We start from the raw sequence: 22,772 nt of genomic DNA on the forward strand, positions 1-22,772 counted from the left end.
CCCCCACTCAGGTCTCCACCGGCCGGAAGCCACCCTGGGCTCCACTTGGCTCCTGGACGTGAGAGCTGGGCAGGGCCTTGAAGACACTCAGTCTGTTGCCCTGTCCCCCACACCCATGTCCCCCACACCCGTGTCCCCACACCCGTGTCCCCACACCCGTGTCCCCTACCCACACCTATGTCCCCACACCCATGTCCCCGACACCCATGTCCCCCATACCCGTGTCCCCACACCCGTGTCCCCTACCCACATCCATGTCCCCACACCCATGTCCCCGACACCCATGTCCCCACACCCATGTCCCCGACACCTCCAGCTCCAGCCTTGCTCAGCACCATGGGCTGCACTGTGGCCTCCGGTCCCCTCGGAGCTCGACTGTACTTGGCGACGGCCCATGAGAGGAGGGCGCACAGAGGGCATAGAGGGGTCCACATGAGGACACAGGGGAGGGCCCTGCCCTGCCCGCAGCCCACAGCCCACAGAGAGGCCCAGGAGGACCCCGCTCTGCCGGCCCCTAGTCCTGGACTTCCCGCCTTCAGAACTGAGAGGAAGTAAATTCCTGTGGTTCAATCCAAAGCCTGTGGTGTTTTGTCATGGCTGCTCCAGTAGATTAATACACATATCACATGAGATGTTACTATCAGGGGCCACAAGGCCAAGGCTGGACCCTTTATGACAAGGAGGCTGGGGGTGTGGAGGAAGAAGCAGGGTCTGACGGTAGGTGGCAGAGCCGGGTCATACCACGAATCCCCCACCAGGGCCCCAGGCCTGCGCAGACCTGGGCAGAGCTGCTCGCTCCTTCCTTGGCTGAACGGAGCCTCTGCCTGCAACCTGTGTGTGCGGATGCATTGGCCTCCAGCCCCGGGCAGCGGCATGTCCGTGGTGGAGCAGACAGACCATGCAGGGCCCAGGAGCAGGCGCCCAGTGGGTCCCATTTAGACACCCAGTGTGACTGTAACTGCTGGGTCTATGCTGATGTAAACTGCAAATCTCAGAAGAGTCCTGCAGGAGGGGCACAGACCACAGACATCATGAGAACAGACAGCAGCCTGGCTCAGAGGAGACAGCTCAAAAGCCCAGGGTCCGGAGAAGGCCAGGAAGTGCCAAGCGCCTTCCCAGGGGAGGGGCCCAGGCAATAAGGGGCTGTCCTTCTGGCCGCAGCTTCAAGTTGAACCAGCCCCGAAACTATATAAAAGACAATTGAACCAGGGTGCCCAAACCCATGTCAACCTGAAAACACAAACCTACTGAAGTCTATCCAGCAGGGACCCTTTGGTGAAGAGTCAACCTAATGATGCCTCTCTCAGGGGTGGGAGTGAAAGGTGCTGCGGTCTCTGCCTTCAAAGACCCTCTGTCCTGCACCTGCGAGGCCCCTGCACAGAGCAGCTGAGAGGTCCCCGCTGCTCCGGCCACTGGCAAAGCTTCTGATGCCCCTTCACTGCCCCCAGATTTGCTGTTTAAAAAACCACCAACAGCAAATATGGTGAAAAAATCGCAATCCCTAGTGTCAAGTCTGACTGCCTGTGTGCAGAGAATTCTGAGGCTGTATTGGAGTCTTGAGTGAAAAACCCACAGAGGCAGATGAGAAATCTACTTTGACTCTAACAAAGGTTAACTGAGAATTTGCCACGTTCCAGACACTGTGTGAAGTGCCAGAGATCTAGGGGGGAACAATTCAAACTCTCTCTTCTGAGAGCATAAATTTCAGACAGAAATCCAGACAAAAACAATTTGTGGCCATTTTCTTTTTTCTTACTAATAAGACCTGTGTTTGCTATTTCCCAGGCAGCAATTTGCACATCTGAAAACTTGTCTTTCTCAGTCCGTGTTGCAGACAGGAATAGCCCATGTCATACTCTGGCAAGAGAGAGGTAGGTGGAAGCTTTGTGGAGGGATTGCTATAGACTGTCTTAAAAGGGGGACAAACCCAACCAACAGGCACCACTTTGCTCTTGGACCTTGTCTCTTCCTGCTGCCTGAAACGAATAAACAATGGCAGGAGCTCCAGCAGCCTCCATGAGGACATGAGCACAGGGCCCAGTGCAGCAGAAACATGGGGCTGCCAAACCAGCCTGACACTCCCACCCCCAGATTTATGAGTGAAAAATGTATTTTTATAAAAGTGACTGTTCCTGGGGTTTCTATTGTAATAATCCACTGTTCTTTGGGAAATCAGCAGCTGAACTCAATCACTAGTGCAACACAAGTAAACAAATAAATCCGGCAGATGATTCTGCTTGGCCTAAATGCTGCAAAGGAAATGACCAGGACACAAAGCACAGAAGCAGGAGGAAGGCAGCTTGGACCGGAAGGTCTGCAGGAGGAAGGACTGCCAAGCAGGGCTGTGCAGATGGTGAGGGCCCAGCCGCAGATAGGCTCTCCAGGCAGAGGTCTTGGCAGACCCAGAGGTTCTGAATCCCATCCAGCCACGTGCCACCTGAGAAAGCTGCGTAGACTAGACGGCACCTCATGCATGGCAGGGAAGTCAACAGAGTTGGAGTGGGAGAAGCCCACAAGGCAGGGGCTTGTAGATCCGAGAAAAGATTGCAGATTTTATTCTTTAAGCAGTAAGAAGTCACTGGGGGGCGCTGAGAGAAAATGAGCTAGCCCAGGGGCTGCCCCCTGAATTCTGCCTGTTGTGTTGGCCGGGATACCTGCCAGGCCTACGGATGCGGGAGGTGCTGCTGTATCTCTGCCCTCCCTGCACTGGGAGCAGGCGCTCCCTCTTTAGTTACAATGACAAATAACAGATCCGGGCATGTCCAGTGTCCCCTGGGGGCACGATGCCTCCAGCTGAGGACCACTGCAGAATGTCTTCTGTAAAGAGAGGAAAGTCAGAGAAATGGCAGAGTGGAGGAGGGGACACCGGGCAGCCGGGCAGAGAATGCGGGGAGAAATGCAGATGTTCAAGAGGCATCTTGGAGAAAATCCTGCGGAATTGACTGGTATGTTACATTCTGTGGTTATGAAGGGGACAAGCCTAAAGGCACCTTGCAGGCAGGCCTGTGTTCCAGCCACACTCCACGGCCAGGCGGGGCCTGCCTTGTGGGTGCTGGACTGTGAATGGGTCACATGTGTCATTTCCGGCCAGGTTAGGCCAGCTGGGCCGGTTGCCCACTGTGCACCTCTCTGGCCTTTGCAGGAGGAAGCCCAGCCGGCAGGACTCAGCTCCACGCCGGGGATGGAGCCCAGGTCCTGGCAAACGTGGAGGAGCGTTGTCCCTGCGAGCGCCCAGCCTGAACAGAAGGGAACGAGGGGGGAGCAAGCCCGCGGTGCGTGATGCTGGTCATTTATTTGCCGCAGCTGCCAGCACACGTCCGCTAACCTGACGAACACGGATCCTGACCTCTAACTTCACACACGCACCCAGGCTGAAATGGAAGCACCAGCCGGGGCAGGTGGAGGGGCTGGAGGAGAATCCAGAGGTTCCTCGCAGGTGCGTGGTGGTGACCCACTCCTCGGGTTTTCACAGGGAGACGTCAGGTAGCGGCTGGGCCTGAGGCTCGGGGGCCGGGTCTGGGCTGCAGTGAGGCTCGGCCATCTCCGGCTTTGCTGCGCCAACAAGAGCATTGCCTGCTGCTATCCCACGCGTCCTCATCCCAAATCCCAGATGAGGGCGCTGTGGCCTTGGCCACCCCCAACACGGCGCCTGGGCTCGCATCTGGGTGGTGGTTTTTCCTGCTGCACCACCAGGGTGCCTTGGCGCTGGGACTACAGGATGCACAGAGGACCGCGCGTGGTGGAAGAGAAGCCAGCCTGGCCCGTTTGTGCGAGCGCGGCCCCTAAGCCCGCAGGCTGCCCTGCTGGGAGGGGAGAGTGGGAAGCGGCCTCCGGGTTGGTTCCCAGTGGTCCCAGCTGGGGGCAGAAATTCCATCTGTCTCACAACAGATGAGTATTCTCAAGTGTGGGAAAGCAACACAGACCAGAAACTTATCAGGGGGAGGAAAACTCCCCCTGATAAGATGCAAAGGAGCCTAGAAAAAAAAAATTGGCCCAAAGAGCAAGCACTGCTGGTTCAGGATAATTTCAGGATAAACTGCCCCAGCTATTGGCAGATGTTAAGAAACACTTCCAAGAACTCGAGGGCAAGACACACCAGCCTCCTAACAGAAACAGCACCCCTACCCCACCACACGCTGGAAGGTTCCAGAAGACCTTGGCAGGACCAAAGACGTCAGTCAAGGTGATGGATAGCTCAGGTCGCCAATATTTCCCATCAAAAGTAGCACTTAGTAATAATTCCACACTCATGGGGAATACTTTGGGCAAAACTGGAGAAAAGGCTTTTGAGTTTCCTAACACTCACTATTGCTCACGAAATAGACATCACATTAAATGCAGTAAAAGAGCAAAAAAAAAAAAAATGGCTGGGCGTGGTGGTTCATGCCTGTAATGCCAGCACTTTGGGAGGCCAAGGCAGGCAAATCACGAGGTCAGGAGTTCGAGACCAGCCTGACCAGCATGGTGAAACCCCGTCTCTACTAAAAATACCAAAACAAACAAACAAACAAAAATTAGCTGGGCGTGGTGGCAGGCACCTGTAGTCCCAGCTACTCAGGAGGCTGAGGCAGGAGAATCACTTGAACCAAGGAGATGGAGGTTGCAGTGAGCCAAGATCACACCACTGCACTCCAGCCTAGGCGACAGAGCAAGACTCCGTCTCAAAAAAAAAAAAAAAAAAGCAAAAAATTAAAATGGTGGAGGGCAAAATAATTTAAAAAGTGAACAAACCTAAATGACTAGTTAGTTATTCTAACAGTAGGCAAACGTCATACTGTTATTACACCTTTCCTGTAAAGAAGCTATGCTCCATTGTGGTAAAAACAAAAAAAATGTGCCTGTGGTTTATAAACACAATAAACCTTAAAATGCAAAGCGGTGCCTTGGCCTTCACGTCAGTATCCCTCAAAGTGTCTGACTCCCCAGGTGATGGTTCCAGGAGCTGGGGGCCTTTGGGAGGTGATGAGGTCATGGTGTGGAGCCCATGGGTGGATCTGTGCCCTTCTAAGAGACCCCAGAGAGACCCTCACCCCTTCCCCCAGGAGAGGTCTGTGAAATAAGAAGCAGTCCTCACGAGACACCAAACCCACTGGGCCTTGGTCTTGGACTTCAGCCCCCAGAGCAGAGAGACGAGTGTCTGCAGCTTGTAAGCCCCATCTGCTGTGGTTGTCACAGCTGCCGAGTGACCAAGGCAGGTGACAGAGGAAGCTGGATTCGCTGCACATCTGCTCCGTCCAGGCCTCTCACGATGCCTACAGCATCCCTGTCCTCTGGGAAGAGCCCTTGCTGTGAGGAAGAGCCCTGACACTCCAGCATGTGCTTTGCATAAAAGCTGCTGTCATCTTACAGACTCCACAAGTGACCAGCCCAGCCGCAGGCACTGACTCAGGCCGCCAGGTTGCTGCCCCTCCCTGGGGCTGTGAGCAGGCATCTGGCCACAGAGAATCCTGGACTTGCTGCCAAGAGCCAGATGTCGCCTGCTGGGACCCGCCAGGAGTCCTGTTCCCAGCCGAGCAGAGGGGCCTGGCGGAGAGGCCCAAGCCAATGGCGGGGAGAAGCAGAGACGAGGCCTGGGCCCCACTCCCATCTCTGTTCCTTTGAACTGAGGTTTTGTCACTGACAATAAGGGTTCTGACTCACACATCTGCTTAAGTTGTGGTTCGGGCACTTAACGTTTCATCTGAAGTTTCCTGAACGTCAGCCAAAGGCCATCAGCTCGGCATCTAGAGCCTTTCAGGTCCGTAGGAATCCACAGATACAAGTTGTAGAGAAAGGAGGTCCAAAGAGATAAAGTGTCAAACGACATCATAGTAAATGGCCTCAAACAAAAACCTCCAAAGACTGTTTTCCCACCACAGCACACCGACTCATAATGAACAAGGAGAGAGGGAATTTTGCTGAGCTTGGTGCTTCAGGAACGCCTAGAAAAGGAAGAGGCTTCTACCGCTGGTGCTTGAACCGAGGGGCAGCTCCTGCAGACAGGCCCTGAGGGCTGGCTGCCACGGAAACAACAACCGGGCTGAGCTGAGACCTGAGACACGAGGTCCCCTTGCTCCACGAGCACCTGGGGACCCGCCCCTGCACACCCCAGTGCTCCTGGGCTGGAAGCCGCATCTCTCCAACCTCTGCCTTCGTCTTTTATTCTCATCCTCAAACGAGGCCTTCTGGCCCGCCTCCCTCCCACGGCCACCCCAGCCCCTTCTCATTCTGCTCTTCGCGAAGCCGCCAGAAGGTCCTTTAAACTGTGAGCGCTTCAGCACAGTGGGATCCTCCCAGGCCTGTGACACAGCACCCGGTACGCGCAGCACACAGGCCCAGCCTCAGGCCCTGCACCAGGCTCTGCTGCCCCCTGGTCTCCCACCCCGCAGGCTAGCGTCCACTTCTCTCCAAGACCTCAGCTCAGCAGACATTTCACCCTCCAGGAAGCTTCCAGAGCATCCCTTGCTGAGAGCTTACTGCCCTCTTCTCCTGGACACGCTGGGCAGCCCATCCCTGCACCTGAGCCTACTCTGTGATCAGGACGGACATTTTCATTTGCCCCACTGACCAGGGCAGACTTGTGGGTGGGGACAGTGGCTCTTGTCCGTGTGTCCACAGGGCTGCACACAGCAGGCAGGAGGCTGGCAGTGTTCCCGGAGGGGGGGCCCGTGAGGGAGGAAGCCCCCCGGGGTTCTGTGCAGGGCCCAGAGATGGAGCGCACAGCAGCATTGAGCTGCAGCCTCCTACCAAACGACTCACGTAAATACAGGCACACGACACAGAGCACAAACACGTGCACGCATAGGCACATGCATGGGCCATGGACATGCACACACAGAAAGCACAGATACATGCAAACAGATCAGACACAAACATACAAACACACCACAGATTCGCACAGTTCACACATACACATGCAAACACACACACCACAGATGCGAGCACACAGATCGGACACACACACGCAAACACACACACCACAGATGCACGCACACAGATCAGACACACGCAAACACACCACAGATGCGAGCACACAGATCAGACACACACACGCACACACCACAGATGCGAGGACACAGATCACACATACACATGCAAACACACACACCACAGATGCAAGCACACAGATAAGACACACACACGCAAACACACACAACATAGATGCGAGCACACAGATCAGACACACACAAGCAAACACACCACAGATGCACGCACACAGATCAGACGCACACACGCAAAAACACACACCACAGACGTGAGCACACAGATCAGACACACACACGCAAACACACACACCAGACGCACGCACACAGATCAGACACACACACGCAAACACACACAACACAGATGCACGCACACAGATCAGACACACGCAAACACACACCACAGATGAACACACACAAATCAGACACACACATGCAAACACACACACCACAGAGGAGAGCACACAGATGAGACACACACATGCAAACACACACAACAGAGAAGCAGACACACAGATCAGACACACCACAGATGCGCGCACACAGATCACACACATGCAAACACACACACCACAGATGCACGCACACAGATCACACACAGTCACACACACCACAGATGCACACACACAGATATGACACAGACACGCACACACCACAGATGCACGCACACAGATCACACACACGCACACACCACAGATGCACACACACAGATCAGACACACGCACAAACACAAACACACAGCACAGATGCATGCACACAGATCAGACACACGCAAACACACACACCACAGATGCACACACAGATCACACACACATGCAAACAGCACAAATGCACACACACAGATCAGACACACACAAGCAAACACACACACCACAGATGCGAGCACACAGATCAGACACACACAAGCAAACACACACACCACAGATGCGAGCACACAGATCACACATACACACGCAAACACACACACCACAGATGCACACAGATCAGACACAGACATGCAGACACACCATAGATGCGAGCACACGGATCAGACACACACATGCAAACACACACACCACAGATGCAGACACACAGATCAGACACACACGCAAACACACACACCACAGATACCAGCACGCAGATCAGACACACTCATGCAAACACACACACCACAGATGCACAGATCAGACACACACGCAAACACACACACTGCAGATGCACACACACAGATCAGACACACACGCAAACACACACACCACAGATACATGCACACAGATCAGACACACACACCACAGATGCACACACACAGATCAGACACACACATGCAAACACACACACCACAGATGCACACACACACGCAGATCACACACACCCAAACACACACACCACAGATGCACACACACAGATCAGACACACACACACACACCACAGATGCACACACACTCACATGCAAACACACACACCACAGATGCACTCACACAGATCAGACACACACACACAAACACACACACCACAGATGCACACACACAGATCAGGCACACACACGCAAACACACACACCACAGATGCACGCACACAGATCAGACACACGCACACACACCACAGATGCACGCACACAGATCAGACACACACGCACACACACCACAGATGCAAGCACACAGATCAGACACATGCAAACACACACACCACAGATGCACGCGCACAGATCAGACACACTCATGCAAACACACACACCACAGATGCACACGCACAGATCAGACACACTCATGGAAACACACACACCACAGATGCACACACACAGATCAGACACACACACGCAAACACACACACCACTGATGCACACACACAGATCAGACATACGCAAACACACACACCACAGATGCACACACACAGATCAGACATACGCAAACACACACACCAGATACACACGCACAGATCAGACACACACACACCACTGATGCACACGCACAGATCAGACACACACACACCACAGATGCACACACACAGATCAGACACACATGCAAACACACACACCACAGATGCACACACACAGATCACACCCACATGCAAACAGCACAGATGCGCACACACAGATCAGACACACACATGCAAGCACACACAGATCAGACACACACGCAAACACACACACCACAGATGCGAGCACACAGATCACACATACACACGCAAACACACACACCACAGATGCACACACACAGATCAGACACACACGCAAACACACACACCACAGATGCACACACACAGATCAGACACACGCCACAGATGCACGCACACAGATCAGACACACGCATGCAAACACACACACCACAGATGCACACACACAGATCACACACATGCAAACACACCACAAATGCACGCACACAGATCAGACACACACACGCAAACACACACACCACAGATGCACGCACACAGATCAGACACACACATGCAAACACACACACCACAGATGCACACACACAGATCAGACACACACGCAAACACACACACCACAGATGCACACACACAGAGATCACACATGCACACACATGCATACACATTCACACACATAGAAATCACAGACACACACACATGCAGAGATCATATGCGTACAGTGAGATCATACACACACAGATCACACACACATACACATGCACACACAATCATACACACGCAGGTGCACATGCAGACACACAGCCTCCTGCCTTTCAATCTTCCTTTTTGTGACGACTTGCAGCTCTAAGAGTTGGGGAAGTGAAGAGATGCCTGCAGGACGGCGTGCAGAGGGGAAGGAGGGTGCTGCCCCTGCGCTGGGACACAGCAAGCTGGTGGCAACCACTGCCCCAGGAGTGGGAGGAGGTCCCTGTGGGGTCAGGGCTGAGGAGCTGGACACCATCCGTGCCTTTGGTGACGACTGCAGACACAGCTGTCCCAGGAAAGTGGGAAATAGGCAATGCGGAAAACAGGCCTTGCTGACTCCTAGCCAACGAGGGAGGTGCCAGGCAGCTGATGGGCACAGAGCACCCTCGAGTCTCTCACGTCCCAAACCGGGCTGGGCCCCAGGGCAGGGCACCCACAGCAGAAGCTGAGCACGCGGAGGCTGCACCAGGCACCGGATCATATGCATACACAGAGATCATACACACAAAGAGATCACAGACACACACATGCAGGCACCGGCTGCGTGGCCCTGCACACCCTCTGGGCTCCCCACTCTCGGCGGCATCTTTGGTGTCAAAGCTTCCCCTGAGTCTCAGAACCTCCAGGTGTTCCCTGGCCTGGCCCTGGGAGATCCCGTGATGCCTCCTCTGGTCCCCACTCCTCAGGGCTTGTAGGCAGCATTGGAGAGTCTGTATCTGAGCAGGTCTATGCTGTCAAGCTCCATCAGAACAAACATGGATTTGCAGGCAGAAGCCCAGCTGTCAGCCTCGCTCGGTGAACTTAGAAAAGTCATTGAGCAAAGGGAACCTCAGAATCTCCTGAAAATGAGGATTGTCCTCAAAGTTGTTGACGAAAATCAGATCCGAGCTCACTAAGCCCATCAAATTCGTTTCACCGGCTCATAAAGTTAGGAGAAGGTCATCTGGGGAGTAGACGCGCCTTCCCAGGGCTGGCTGTGTCCCTCCGAGATGGAGCCTGGCACCTGGCTCCAGGCTCACTTTCCTAACTATGTAAAGAAATGGTCTCATCTCACCAGAGGGCACCAGGGCCCCTTCCGGATTTGGGAAGGGGGCTTGGGAACTGCCTTCTCTGCCTCAGTAGGTGGTGAATCTGGTGAGCATCTCATTCCAGCTGCTCAGGCCATCAGCTTTGGAGCCTTTCTTGGCCCCTCTCTTTCTCTAATAAAGTTCACTTAACCAGTTAGAAATCATGCTGATTCTACCTTCAAAACTACTGTGCATGATTTTGGGGACTGAATCCCACAGCATTTCAGGGTGAGCATTAAGGAACAAGACGCATTGTACGAGGTGAAACTAACAAGATTCAGGAGGAGAAGAGAGGTGCCCTGGCCTGTCCCCCATCCCGTGTGGCCGTGGACGGCGTCTCCTGGCCAGAGGAGTTGCCACCTCCCAGCTCCGGGTACTGCAAAGTCTGCTGGCAAAGTCATGGGACCACGAGGACAAGAGAAACAGAAACAGCAGTGCGATTCCCATGTCTTCAGTGAGCTTGGCTGCAGCCCTCCTGGGGAGAAGCTTATTCTCCAGGCACCCAGGATGAGGCACTGGCTCAAGGTCGCTCATGATAGCTCTGCTCATGGCCTCTGCCCTCTGCTCTGTCACCAAACCCAAACCAGGGCATTTCACTCTTTGGCTTAAGAATAGCAAAGCCTTCCTTCTCCACTGGCAGGATAAGCCGTCTTCACAGTGGCCTGGGATGCCCTGGAGGGCCCAACTGTGTTGTGCCCTGGCCCCTCCTCTTCCTGCTGCTCCCTGCTCACCCAGCTCAGGGGTCTCCCTGCCACAGCCTTTGCCTGCCCCTTCCCTCTGCCAGCAAGTCTCCTCCGCAGCTCTGTGCATGCCACACTCCTCCGATCCCCCGACCACCTGGTTTAACCCCGCACCTAGCTCACCCCACCACCCTCCAATTCCCTGGGGCCCTCACCCTGTTCAACGTCTTTTTCCATAACACATATCATCTTCCAGCATTCGATGTGATGTTAGTATTGATGATGCTTATTGTTAACTGATTGCCACCTGTCCCTCCACACCCACCTGACTAGAAGGGAAGTTCTCTGGGGCAGGGTCTGTTTTGCTCACTGAGGCATCGCCAGTGCCTAGAACATTGCCCTCAATAAATATGTGTTCAAGGATGAGAGATTGGACAAGTGCTGACTGACACTCCCGCATGTCAGGAACTGTGCTGGGCCCCGGGATGAGAGCTGGACTTTAAAAACAATACTGTGAGTGGATGAGCCGCGGCCTGTGCCCTCAGGAGCCCCTGGTCTCGGGGAGGCATGGATCTGTGTTGCTCATGAGGATGGGGCTTATTCACGGAGCTGGGCCTGGGACCCCCGGGGCCTGTTCCTCCATCATCTGCTGACCATTTCCAGCAAGGATGGTCAGCAGCGTCGCATCTGCTGATGAACGAGCAGGGGAAGGGCGCTCTGTGTGCATCGGACTCTTCCCAGATGTGGAAGATTTGCCTTCCCAGAAAAAACCCGGCTCATCAGCCTGCAAACCACAGACGTGCAGGGATCCACAGGGCCCCACATCTGGAGGTGACGTCATTGTGTGTGTGCCCCCTAACCCGGTGATGTCAGGCCTGCTAAGTCCAAAGTCCAAGCCATAGCTGACCTGCCGTGACCTCCTTAGCCGTTCTTAGGGAGAAGCTGTGACCCCACATGAGACCTGGAGATGGAAGAGGCAGTCTAAGGGCTTAGTCATTTGTTTACCAGGGTCTAAACATGGTGCTGGGGAAACAGGCCAGAAATCCAAACAAGCCTCCTCCCGGCTTCCTGTCCAACACTCCACCCAGAGGTGCCCCGAGGCTCCCAGACGCTGCCCGTGGTGCCAGCTCCCTTCAGGACTGTCCAACGCTCCACCCAGAGGTGCCCCGAGGCTCCCAGACGCTGCCTGTGGTGCCAGCTCCCTCCAGGACTGTCCAACGCTCCACCCGAAGGTGCCCCGAAGCTCCCAGACACTGCCCGTGGTGCCAGCTCCCTCCAGGACTGTCCAACGCTCCTCCCGGAGGTGCCCTGAGGCTCCCAGATGCTGCCCGTGGTGCCAGCTCCCTCCAGGACTGTCCAACACTCCACCCAAAGGTGGCTGAGGCTCCCAGACACTGCCCATGGTGCCAGCTCCCTTCAGGACACTTGTTCCTCCACCTCCACTCGGGGGAGCCTCCTGCACTTGCCCTGGTTGTGTCGTAAGGCTTGGATTACAAATGTAAATATGCACATACAGAGAAGTGTCTACTACAAGTGAACATACCTCTATAAATATTTATCAGTTTATATTATAGATATTTGCATAAACATGTTCTATGTAAATATGTACTTTAAAATAATTATCTGGGTGGATAGATAATTGTCTGGCCCAGTGTGTAGCAGACCCAGGGCCCCTGGTGCTGGCAGGCATTCCTCCTCCTCCCTGAACACCCCTGGGAAAAACGGGGTTCCCCAGGTGCCTTTTGAGAAAGAGGGAAGGTTTGGGTTTGCCAGGGATGGGTACAGCCTCTTCAGCTCAGCAAAGCTGGGGAAGGCTTCACCGAGCACTTGGTCTCGGAGCTGGGCCTTCCGGGATAAATGAGGCTTTGTCCGCTGACTATGGGGAGTGGGTGGAGGGTGTCCCTGGCAGACATGGCCGAGTGTGGAAGCCCCTGAGGCCTCGGGGAATGGAACCAGCTGGGCTGCAGAGGGGTCAAGGCCAAGCTACGATGCCCCTTGTACTCATTCTTTGGACTCAGCCGATGTGAAGCAGGGAAATTGTGTAATGTGTTTTGCTTCTTAGAATGATCATGTGGGCAGCAGAGCAGAGAGTGGTTGGGAGCACAAGGTTCAGAGAGGCAAGAGGACACGAGGCAGTGGTCGGAAAGACAGGTGAGCACATTCTGCAGCTGGACAGAAAAGGTGGCATTCACTGAAATGAACGTGGGTTTGAAGGAGCAATATGAAGACTATGACGTAATTTAAAACGTGCAGGGATGGATTTCTATGCCCAGGAGTGGGTGTGCAAGAACTGACCTCTGCCGTTATTTTCTATAAGCCAACGACACCCTCTGCATGAGCGGAAACCCGCTTCAATCCCTGTAGATCCTGTCCCTGCGTTCAATCAGGGTCATGTCAGGCGCCCGGGATGGAAGCCAGCATGAGGAGTCAGGGAGAGGGTTCCTCCCCACCCACCCGACGCAGGACGCTCTCAGCTGCCCCCGGCCCTTTCGCTTCGGGCCTCCAGGGTTCTCTCCGCTCCCTGGACAGCCCCTCTCATTTCCCACCCAGATGCTCACATTTCTTCTAGGCCAGGCTGCTCCTCGCTTGGCCCTCTGCCTCTTCTGCCTTGTACCTTCTCCTAAAGTGCTCTAAATCCTCATAAGGATCTAGGCTTTTGGAAAATCACAGGCAAGAGAAAAAAAAAAAGCAGGACTCCTGAGCTTTGGGCCAGCTGTTTTCTCCCCTTTGGTGCTGAAGTGGAATCGGCCACCTGCTTACAAGGACAGCGTGAGAGGGGAAAGGGGAGGAGCAGGAACGTGCATGAACCCGACAGAACAGAGGGGATGATGACCATGAGAATAATGGATTATTTACTGGGCATTGCACTAAGTATCCCACAACTGTGTCATTGAATCTGAAGATAATCCTAGACTAGAAATCATTATCTTTACTTTACAGACGACATAACCAAAGTTCAGAGAGGCTAAGCAGCTTTCCGAGAGTCACACAGCAAATGGAGGCTGTGTGGAGTCTACGCAGCTAAGCGCCTGCCCCGTGCTGTCGGGTCATGCTTCCCTGTCCAGGTCACTCTGGGAGGTCAGCCCACCAGGCCCCAGGCTGCCGCAGGGGCCCAGGTTCAAGGCCCTTCCCCGCTCCTCCCCCAGGGTCTCCAGTGTGCTGGAATCTCCGTCTTCTCACCATAACCTCACCCCATCCCTGGATTCTTCCCAAGGGCAACCCATGGGTGATATCGGTACAAAAAATGTCACCAGAAGGAATTAAGAAAAAACTTAGAACAAGATTTTAAGGAAGAAAGTGAATTTCCCACACCAAACCCCAGTACTACTGAACTTAGCACCATCTGCTAAGTTCTCATCAAAATAGATTCCACAGGTCCCGTCTGCTGGGGCGAGCTGGGGAGACCCCTGCACCGTCCAGAGAGCGGAGGTGCTGCTCCTCTCCGGCTCAGTGTGGTGACGCCTCCCAAGTCACAGGAGCAGACGGGGTCATCGGCACACCTGGGAGCACCCTCGGCCTTGGTTGCCTGTGCCTGGGTTCGCTGGATTTTCCACCAAATCAGCCAGGCTGGGGCTGCCATTGGACCTGTGCCTTCTGCACACAGATGCTGCCTGACATGGTGCCCGACTCTCCAAGGCGTCAGGTAGAGAGAACGTAACAGACGCGAGTGTGGGGTTGTTTTGATGGTCTGAATCAGCTACCACACCTACTAACTTAGACCGCCTTAGGAATCAAATGTACTCGTTCTTCGTATTTTCACTGTCAGGAAAATACATTGTAACTAGATTGGACAACAGGGTTGTCCAACCTGTTCAAATTGTCGATAGAGGGTGTTACAACAGCTGTCGTTCTGCCCAAGCTCTCAGTTAGTGAGCCCCCATGCCAGGGCGGAGCATCCAACAAGGACACTGCAGGTCCTGAATGTGCAAACACGCAGAGGATCCCCCCGCCGATCCCCATCCCAAAGACGGGGTCCCCCGTGGGCCCCGGGGGCTAAGCAGGGATGGCCGTGACAGGAAAGGCTGCACGTGCCCACAGAACTTTCCAATGAGTGAGTAAGCCCCAGACCTCTTGTCCAACAACGACATCTTCTTAGACCCCAGTCAGGAACCTAAACCCGCACACACACACACACACACACACACACACACACACACACACACAAACACACACACAGAGCTATACAGCCATACAGACACACACACACAAAAACACAGACACAGACATACACACAAAACAGACACACACACACACCCCTACACACAGACACACACAGACACATACATATATAACCCACACACAGACAAAGCATACACAACCTACACACATACACACACAGACATACACATACAACCTACATACACACACACAAACACACACGCATATACACAACTATACACATATAATCTACACACACACACATATACACACCTACACATACATATACAACCTACACGCAGATATACACCAATATACACACAGACACACACAAAAAAAACCAGACACACATATATACATATACACACCTACACACACATATACAACCTACACACAAAGACATACACACACAATAGACATAGACACACACATGAACACACAAAGATACATATACACACCTACACACACAGCCTAGAAAGACACACATACAGATACACAGACATAGACAAAAACACACAAAGACACAGACACACACACATATACAACATATACACAGACACACACACATACAGACACAGACATATATATACACCTACACATACATATACAACCTACACACACACAGACATAAAAACTCACAAATACACACCTACATACACAGAGACATATACAACCTATACACACACAGATACACAGAGATACACAGTCACACACGCACTTATACACACCTACACACACACAACACACAGACACAAAGATACACAGACATACGCACAAACTCACAGACACACACACATAGACACACACAAAGACACATACATACACCTACACGCACACAAACACACACAGAGACACAAAGACACAAAGACCCAGATACACACACTTATGCACAGACACACATACAGATACACAGACAGCAGGTACATACTTAACACACAGGCACAGAGACACACAGACCCATAGACACACAGATACACATTTTTTAAAATCCTTGTGCCTTGTTAACTCTCTGAGATTTTACGTGGACACTATTCCACAGGGTCTGACGGAGTCACCGACATTGACACATCTCAGCTGAGAAGGGGCGAATGGACTCCTGGGCCTGCGTCTGGTACCCCCCTGGCAGACAGGACGGCTGGAAAGTGGAGGTGGATAAATGATTTTGTTTGTTTGTTTCTTCCACAAACACAGGCTGGCCACTTCCCGTGTGACAGGGACTCTGCATGGGCCTAAGATAAAAACATCACGAGAGGCAGCGTCTGCTTCCAGGAATTGCATAGGAAGTGAGGCAGAGAAGTCATTTCCCGGCGCCTGGAAGCCGCTGCCCCACACAGGACAGCAGGTGGGGAGAGGCGGCCTCCTGGCATGGAAAACGGTGAGGAAAGCTGTCTGAGAGCGGCCTCTGCGCGCCGGGCAGGAGGCAGTGCTGACGTCACAGGCAGCCTGTAGCCCTGACATGGGGACAAATAGCTCCCCCAGCCTGAACGACTTCAGCATCACCCATGTGTGGAAGAGCTGTTCAACGGTCGCCACCACAGATAATTCAATTCAGCTTAGCAGAGTCTGTCTCTTTAAGAAAGTGAAGAAGAGGGCAATATAATTTTTAAAAGTGACAACAGGCAAAATCTAGATTATGTGGGAAATACGCTTGAAAGCGGCACCTTTAAAGTGATGCTGGATGCCCAAGATTATTTCTGGGCATTGATTCATTAGACAGGCAACAAACGCCATCTGAGCAGCTGCCACCAGCCAGGCACTGCCCTGGGCCGGAAGCTGCAGCATGTCCATCTGTCCATCCTCGGGAAGCCTCTTAGCCCCACATCTAAACACAGGGCACGACCCGGCCAAATCACCAAAACCCAGTCTGCGGACCGCTCACACTTCCCCGTGGTGTCTCAGGATGAGGTAATATGGGGGCAGCCCTGGGGGAAAGTCCCCAGACAGCAGCCGACGCCAATCCACATTTCCCGCAGCGACAAGCAAGAAAAAGAGAAAGGAATTCCTGTCTGGCCACGGCTCTGCCTCATCCTCTGAGCATCAGCTTCTCCATCTGTAAACTGGGGCAGTCTGCTCCGCCTGCCTGTCTCTGGGAGGATGTGTGGGAGGGGACGGCCGAGGGGCTCCGTAGAACGAAGGGCCTTCCTACAGCCATCCTGCACTCAAGGTTTGCCCGGCTCACAGAAGGACCTGGCTGACCACCACAGAGCTACCTGCAGACGCGGGTTCGAAGGAAGGCCTGGGTGATCCTGAGTCTAACTGTGCAGCTCTCCTTGCTCATCTGCCCACACTCCGGAGCGTGCTGAGTCCAGAGGACCCTGCGCCGAGTTCTGTTCAGCTCCCTTTATCATGTGTTCACTCACACTCCATTAAAACAGGGAACAACCCCTCTGCGGACCCCAAATTTCCCCCTCTGGGATATTAAAGTACATGACGGGTAAGAGCTTGCACCAATTAATACAACAGCCCACAAAATGCCAAGGGAGGGTCCAGCCGCCTTCATGGACTGAGCACTTTGTACACAATACACGTTGTACCCAGTCCTGGGCTACCAAGGAGTGCTTCTGACCAAATGTGGTGGGGAACTCAGGGAAGGCTGGAGGCTGAGGCTGGAAAGGGGGGCGGAGGTACACCTGAGTGTAAAGGACCTGAGAGGGAGGCACACCTGAGTGGGAGGTCCACGTGGGTGAGAGGTTCATCTCGGTGGGAGGTCCACCTGGAGGGAGGTCCTGAAAGGAGGAAGGGCATCTGAGTGGAGGCAGGGGCAATCACAGGAAACCAGCCTGGGGAGGGGCAGAGTCCGGTCGTGTGGGACGTGGCAGGAGGTGCAGATGCTGGGCTATATCCTGCAGAGCAGGAATGGGAGACGTGTGTGCATAGGGGATGGAAAACCCCACTGAAATGATCTTAAGTAAAAAGGGAAATGAGTCTGTTGGCTCATATAATGCAAAGCTCCTGGGCAGGCTCGAAATGACAGCTGGGTCCAGATGTTCAAAGTGTGTCTGTAGGTCCCAGACTCTCTTCCTTTCTCCCTCGCTCCTCTCTCTCTCTGAAGTTTGCCATCTCTTTCCCATCTCTAGCCCCACATCTGCACCAGCTTCTCCCCTCCACCTTTCTGCTCCTTCCGGCTCTCTTTCCTACTCTCATCCTCATTGCCTTCACCTTCCGCACAAGACCCCTCTCCACACGTTGGCTCCCAGCAGATCCACATGCACGTTAACCTGAGTGTTGGCTGTCCCAGTAGACAGGGGTCTTCTGCTTCCTAAGACTTCCCCAAAAAATCCTGGATAAAAACTTGAACCACCTTTGGTGATGTGCTCTTCCTGGAGGCATAGCAGGGGCGAACATCCCCACCATAGCAACCTGGACTGAGAATAGGGGAAGACTGAAGTGTAGCTGCCAGGACACAGCCTGGCGGAACTGGGCACCCCGGCTCGAGGAGGACTCAGGCCAGGCATTCTTCGCAGAGATCCAGGTGGTAGAGGGCAGGGAGGGAAACCAAGGCATATCAGAAGGAACCCCAAGGAGGGCAGAGCAAGTCCGAGAATGCTCACAGCAGGCAGAGACCTTTCCCAGAGAGGGAATGAAGGAAATTTTGGGGAGAGAGGCCCTTGGGGTTGACCATGAAGGACAGGAAAGATGAGGATGGGCTCTGAGGTCACCCCAGCCACCAAAAGCAACAGAAAAGACCCCTGTGGCCTCACATCCTGTGCCCACAACAGCAGGGTTCTCTCAACCCACGGAAGTTCCCTGTGGACCAATCCAGATGCAGGTGCAGTGTGTAGGAGTCTGGGCAGGCAGAGAGGAAGGGAGCAGTGAGAATGCACCAGAGCTGCTTGGCCAGTCTTCTGGTTTGTCCAGGGACTGAGTGTTGCTGATAGTTGAGGCCACATTCATTTTTGAGATCTGCAGATGTTAGATGTTATTGATTTCTAAGTGCAATAAAGTTGAGTAGCACTGATCTAAAATACTTCCCCTCAGTCTGGCAGAAATACAGCCATTAGGGTTTGATTTAGAACCATCATTAGGAAGAATAATCAGAACACCAAGATCCTTTCTTTCCCAGCACAAGCAGGCTCTCGGCCATCGGGCATGTCATAATCTTGGAAGGTAAAACCCAAGCCCATGGGCACGAAAAAGTACTTCTGGGGAATTTTAACAGGAAACATTCTCCCTCCCTGCCTCCACCCTTGGAGACACCACTTCTGCACGGTGGTGCTTTTCAGCTGGGGAAGGTGAGTCAAGAGTTTGACTCATTGAATGATTCTTATCCTTCCCTAGTTTATGTCCGATAATGGAGAGGGGATGATTAGTAACACAGATGCAAAAGCAGCCCTGCCTTGAACCACTTCTCAGAGACAAGTTCAGGCCAACTCTGCTCTGAACACAGATCCAGTTCCATCTCAACTCGGAATAAAGATTCCCAGTCCAGGTAAAGGGCACTCATCATCTTCTCACCATTGCCTTCGTAGAAAGCACTTGCAAATGCACCTGCCACAGCTTCCAGCCTCACAACTGCCCTTCCTCTCCTTCCGCAGGATGACACCCATCCCCTGGGCGAATGCCCCATGTGCCCTGGAAAACCACATGTGCAGTTGTTGGGTGCAGTGTCACATGGATGCTGATTGGATCACGGGAATTGGCAGTACTTGAAGATCATCTAGGTCTTAATTTTTTTTCTAGTTATTTTATCAATTGCCGAGAGAGGAGTATTAAAGTCTTCTGCTTTGTGAAAAAGTCTATTTCTCCCTTTAATTCATGTAATCATAATTACACACTGGTAACTTATGCCTTCCTGATAATTTTTCCTTTTATTACTATGAAATGTCCTTCTTTGTCTCTGGTAATATTATTTGTATTCAGTCTGTTTTATCTGGTATTAACATAGCCATCCAGTCTTCTGTGCTCAATGTTTCCATGGTATGATTTTTGCCATCTATTGAACTTCTACCTATGTGTATCTTTAATTTTAAAGCATGACTCTTGAAAACAATACTGGGGTTGTTTTTATTCGCTCAGTCTCCTTTTAAATTATTTTTAATATACAATGTGTAATTATTAATTAATATAATGTCATCGTGGATACAATTTGGTTTAAAATTACCATTTTTTTCTGTGTGTCTGTTCTGCTTTTGTTCCTCTGTCTTTCAGATTAAATCTTTTTAGTATCCCATCTAAATTTATATTGCATTTTGCTGTATCTCTTTGAATCATTCTTTTAACAGCTGCTCTAATTATTGCAATAGACACATGTCATCTTTCACAGTTGGCTTGGAATTAATCGGACACCACTTCCTGTAGAGTGTGGAAAACCTGCAGCTCCACAGTCCTCCTCAGTGACCTTCCTGTCATGGATGTCAGGTGTTTTACATCTGTGTATATTGAAAACCACGCCAAACAGTATGAATGTTCCTTTCCACGCTCACAAATTTTAAATAACTAAGAGAAAAAGAAGTAGTCTTTTATATTTGTTCTGATATTTACTGTTTCCACTTCTCTTTCCTCATTCCTAAATATCCAAGTTTGCCCTGGCACTCTTTTCACTCATGCTGAACAAGTTCCATATGAAGACTTTCACTAGGCCGGGTCTGTTAGTGACAAATTCTCTGTATTTTGCTAAGGTCATCTGGAACTAAATGTATTTTGCCTTCGTCAGATGGATTTTGTTGTTGTTGTTGACAGTCTCCTAACACTTTCAAGCTGCACCTTCATGTGCCGGTTTCTAGAGAGAAATCCAGTCACTCAAATCATACCTCCACTAAATGTAATTGTGCTTTCAGTTTTAACGCGAAATGTGGAACAGATGGAAACCTGCTTTCTTTGAATTTTAAATTATATGCTTACTGGCTAAGAAACACAGTAAAAGTAGCTATTTTTTTTGTAACCTGTGAATGTCAGAGAGACGGAGGAAGTGGTTCTTTCCTAACGTTGCTCAGCTGTGCCTGCTGAGGCTCGCCGGAGTGCCTTATTTACTGATGCTCCAGACCACGCCCATCTGCTACAGCCACCCTGTCCCCAAAGCACAGGACATCCGCTGGCCCCTCCAGTGCAGCCCGCCACAGCTGGGCCACCACAACTGGACACCCACTGGCCCCATATAATGCAGCCTGCCACAGCTGGGCCATCACAACTGGACACCTGCTGGCCCCTATAATGCAGCCTGCCACAGCTGAGCCACCACAACTGGACACCCACTGGCCCCATATAATGCAGCCCGCCATAGCTGAGCCATCACAACTGGACACCCACTGGCCCCTGCAGTGCAGCCTGTCACAGCTGAGCCGCCACAGCTGGACACCCGCCGGCCCCTGCAGTGCAGCCTGTCACAGCCGAGCCACCACAGCTGGACACCCGCTGGCCCCTGCAGTACAGCCCGCCACAGCCGAGCCGCCACAGCTGGACACCCGCTGGCCCCTGCAGTGCAGCCGCCACTGAGCATCACAACCGCAGTTGTCCACCGAGATCCAAACCCCGCATGGTCCTACCTGAGGCTTCAAGTCACGCTTCTTCACTCAGCCAAAGGTCTGTGCACGCGTCGTTCTGGCCCCCAGATTCTGCTCCTTGAGATATGTGGCTGTTCCTCAACACTGGGGGAAGTTAAAGCCTGAGTTCAAAACCCATCGAGGCAGAAGCTCAGAAGTCACACGAATGAAGATCGAAATGTAATATTATTACCGACAATTGATAGCGAAGAAAATGGCTTCTTCCTGGTTGCCTGGTGAGTGTGTTAGAATTCCCTTCCTCCACCCTGCGTCCCTCAGTCTAGATCCTGGGACAGTCCACCTGAAGGGCAGCTTGGGTCCACAGAGGTGACCTGTATTCATGATATTTGCCTCCTACCATCCAGAGAGGAGAAACAGAGATGGAACTCTTCTCTGATGAACCCCACCGAATGAGCAGGGTCCCCAGCTGCCTCCTGTTACTGGGGAGGGGGAAGGATGAGGCCCAGAGCCCACCGAATGAGCAGGATGCCCCAGCTGCCTCCTGTTACTGGGGATGAGGAAGGATGAGGCCAGGAGCCCATCGAATGAGCAGGGTGCCCCAGCTGCCTCCTGTTACTGGAGAGGAGGTAGGATGAGGCCAGGAGCCCATCGAACGAGCAGGGTCCCCAGCTGCCTCCTGTTACTGGGGAGGAGGAAGCATGAGGCCAGGATCCCATCGAACGAGCAGGGTCCCCAGCTGCCTCCTGTTACTGGGAAGGAAGAAAGATGAGGCCAGGAGCCCACCGAATGAGAAGGGTCCCCAGCTGCCTCCTGTTACTGGAGAGGAGATAGGATGAGGCCAGGAGCCCATCGA

General features: G+C 52.8%; 2 long non-coding RNA genes across 9 annotated transcripts in view, besides 7 other annotated features; one reads left to right on the forward strand and one right to left on the reverse strand.

Annotated features, from left to right (window-relative positions):
• The window catches only part of LALTOP (lung cancer associated lncRNA targeting TOP2A), a 140,518-nt gene that overhangs the window by 103,556 nt on the left and 14,190 nt on the right, over positions 1-22,772 (reverse strand). For 3 of the 8 annotated variants that reach the window (NR_198950.1, NR_198945.1, NR_198952.1), the window contains one exon: positions 21,962-22,063. The exons of the other annotated variants lie outside the window; for them this stretch is intronic. This is a non-coding gene — a long non-coding RNA (lung cancer associated lncRNA targeting TOP2A). The remainder of the gene's footprint in view (positions 1-21,961; positions 22,064-22,772) is intronic. 8 annotated transcript variants of the gene reach the window in all.
• LOC124907722 (uncharacterized) lies at positions 2,429-4,875 on the forward strand. The gene is made up of 2 exons (XR_007086187.1): positions 2,429-2,945; positions 3,143-4,875. It is a non-coding gene; the product is annotated as an uncharacterized LOC124907722 (long non-coding RNA).
• Positions 2,738-3,257: an enhancer, noted in NCBI's record as "H3K27ac-H3K4me1 hESC enhancer chr2:1594967-1595486 (GRCh37/hg19 assembly coordinates)". NCBI's record gives its function as "activates a minimal SCP1, AML or CMV promoter by ChIP-STARR-seq in naive H9 embryonic stem cells {active_cell/tissue: H9 hESC(naive)}" and the evidence as "EXISTENCE:reporter gene assay evidence [ECO:0000049][PMID:30033119]".
• Positions 3,258-3,777: an enhancer, noted in NCBI's record as "H3K27ac-H3K4me1 hESC enhancer chr2:1595487-1596006 (GRCh37/hg19 assembly coordinates)". NCBI's record gives its function as "activates a minimal SCP1, AML or CMV promoter by ChIP-STARR-seq in naive H9 embryonic stem cells {active_cell/tissue: H9 hESC(naive)}" and the evidence as "EXISTENCE:reporter gene assay evidence [ECO:0000049][PMID:30033119]".
• Positions 3,778-4,295: an enhancer, noted in NCBI's record as "H3K27ac-H3K4me1 hESC enhancer chr2:1596007-1596524 (GRCh37/hg19 assembly coordinates)". NCBI's record gives its function as "activates a minimal SCP1, AML or CMV promoter by ChIP-STARR-seq in naive H9 embryonic stem cells {active_cell/tissue: H9 hESC(naive)}" and the evidence as "EXISTENCE:reporter gene assay evidence [ECO:0000049][PMID:30033119]".
• Positions 6,125-6,767: an enhancer, noted in NCBI's record as "H3K27ac-H3K4me1 hESC enhancer chr2:1598354-1598996 (GRCh37/hg19 assembly coordinates)". NCBI's record gives its function as "activates a minimal SCP1, AML or CMV promoter by ChIP-STARR-seq in naive H9 embryonic stem cells {active_cell/tissue: H9 hESC(naive)}" and the evidence as "EXISTENCE:reporter gene assay evidence [ECO:0000049][PMID:30033119]".
• Positions 6,768-7,409: an enhancer, noted in NCBI's record as "H3K4me1 hESC enhancer chr2:1598997-1599638 (GRCh37/hg19 assembly coordinates)". NCBI's record gives its function as "activates a minimal SCP1, AML or CMV promoter by ChIP-STARR-seq in naive and primed H9 embryonic stem cells {active_cell/tissue: H9 hESC(naive and primed)}" and the evidence as "EXISTENCE:reporter gene assay evidence [ECO:0000049][PMID:30033119]".
• Positions 9,934-10,433: an enhancer, noted in NCBI's record as "H3K4me1 hESC enhancer chr2:1602163-1602662 (GRCh37/hg19 assembly coordinates)". NCBI's record gives its function as "activates a minimal SCP1, AML or CMV promoter by ChIP-STARR-seq in naive H9 embryonic stem cells {active_cell/tissue: H9 hESC(naive)}" and the evidence as "EXISTENCE:reporter gene assay evidence [ECO:0000049][PMID:30033119]".
• Positions 16,266-17,059: an enhancer, noted in NCBI's record as "H3K27ac-H3K4me1 hESC enhancer chr2:1608495-1609288 (GRCh37/hg19 assembly coordinates)". NCBI's record gives its function as "activates a minimal SCP1, AML or CMV promoter by ChIP-STARR-seq in naive H9 embryonic stem cells {active_cell/tissue: H9 hESC(naive)}" and the evidence as "EXISTENCE:reporter gene assay evidence [ECO:0000049][PMID:30033119]".

Source organism: Homo sapiens, chromosome 2, assembly GCF_000001405.40.
Source record: "Homo sapiens chromosome 2, GRCh38.p14 Primary Assembly".
In the NCBI taxonomy this organism is placed as follows: domain Eukaryota; kingdom Metazoa; phylum Chordata; class Mammalia; order Primates; family Hominidae; genus Homo; species Homo sapiens.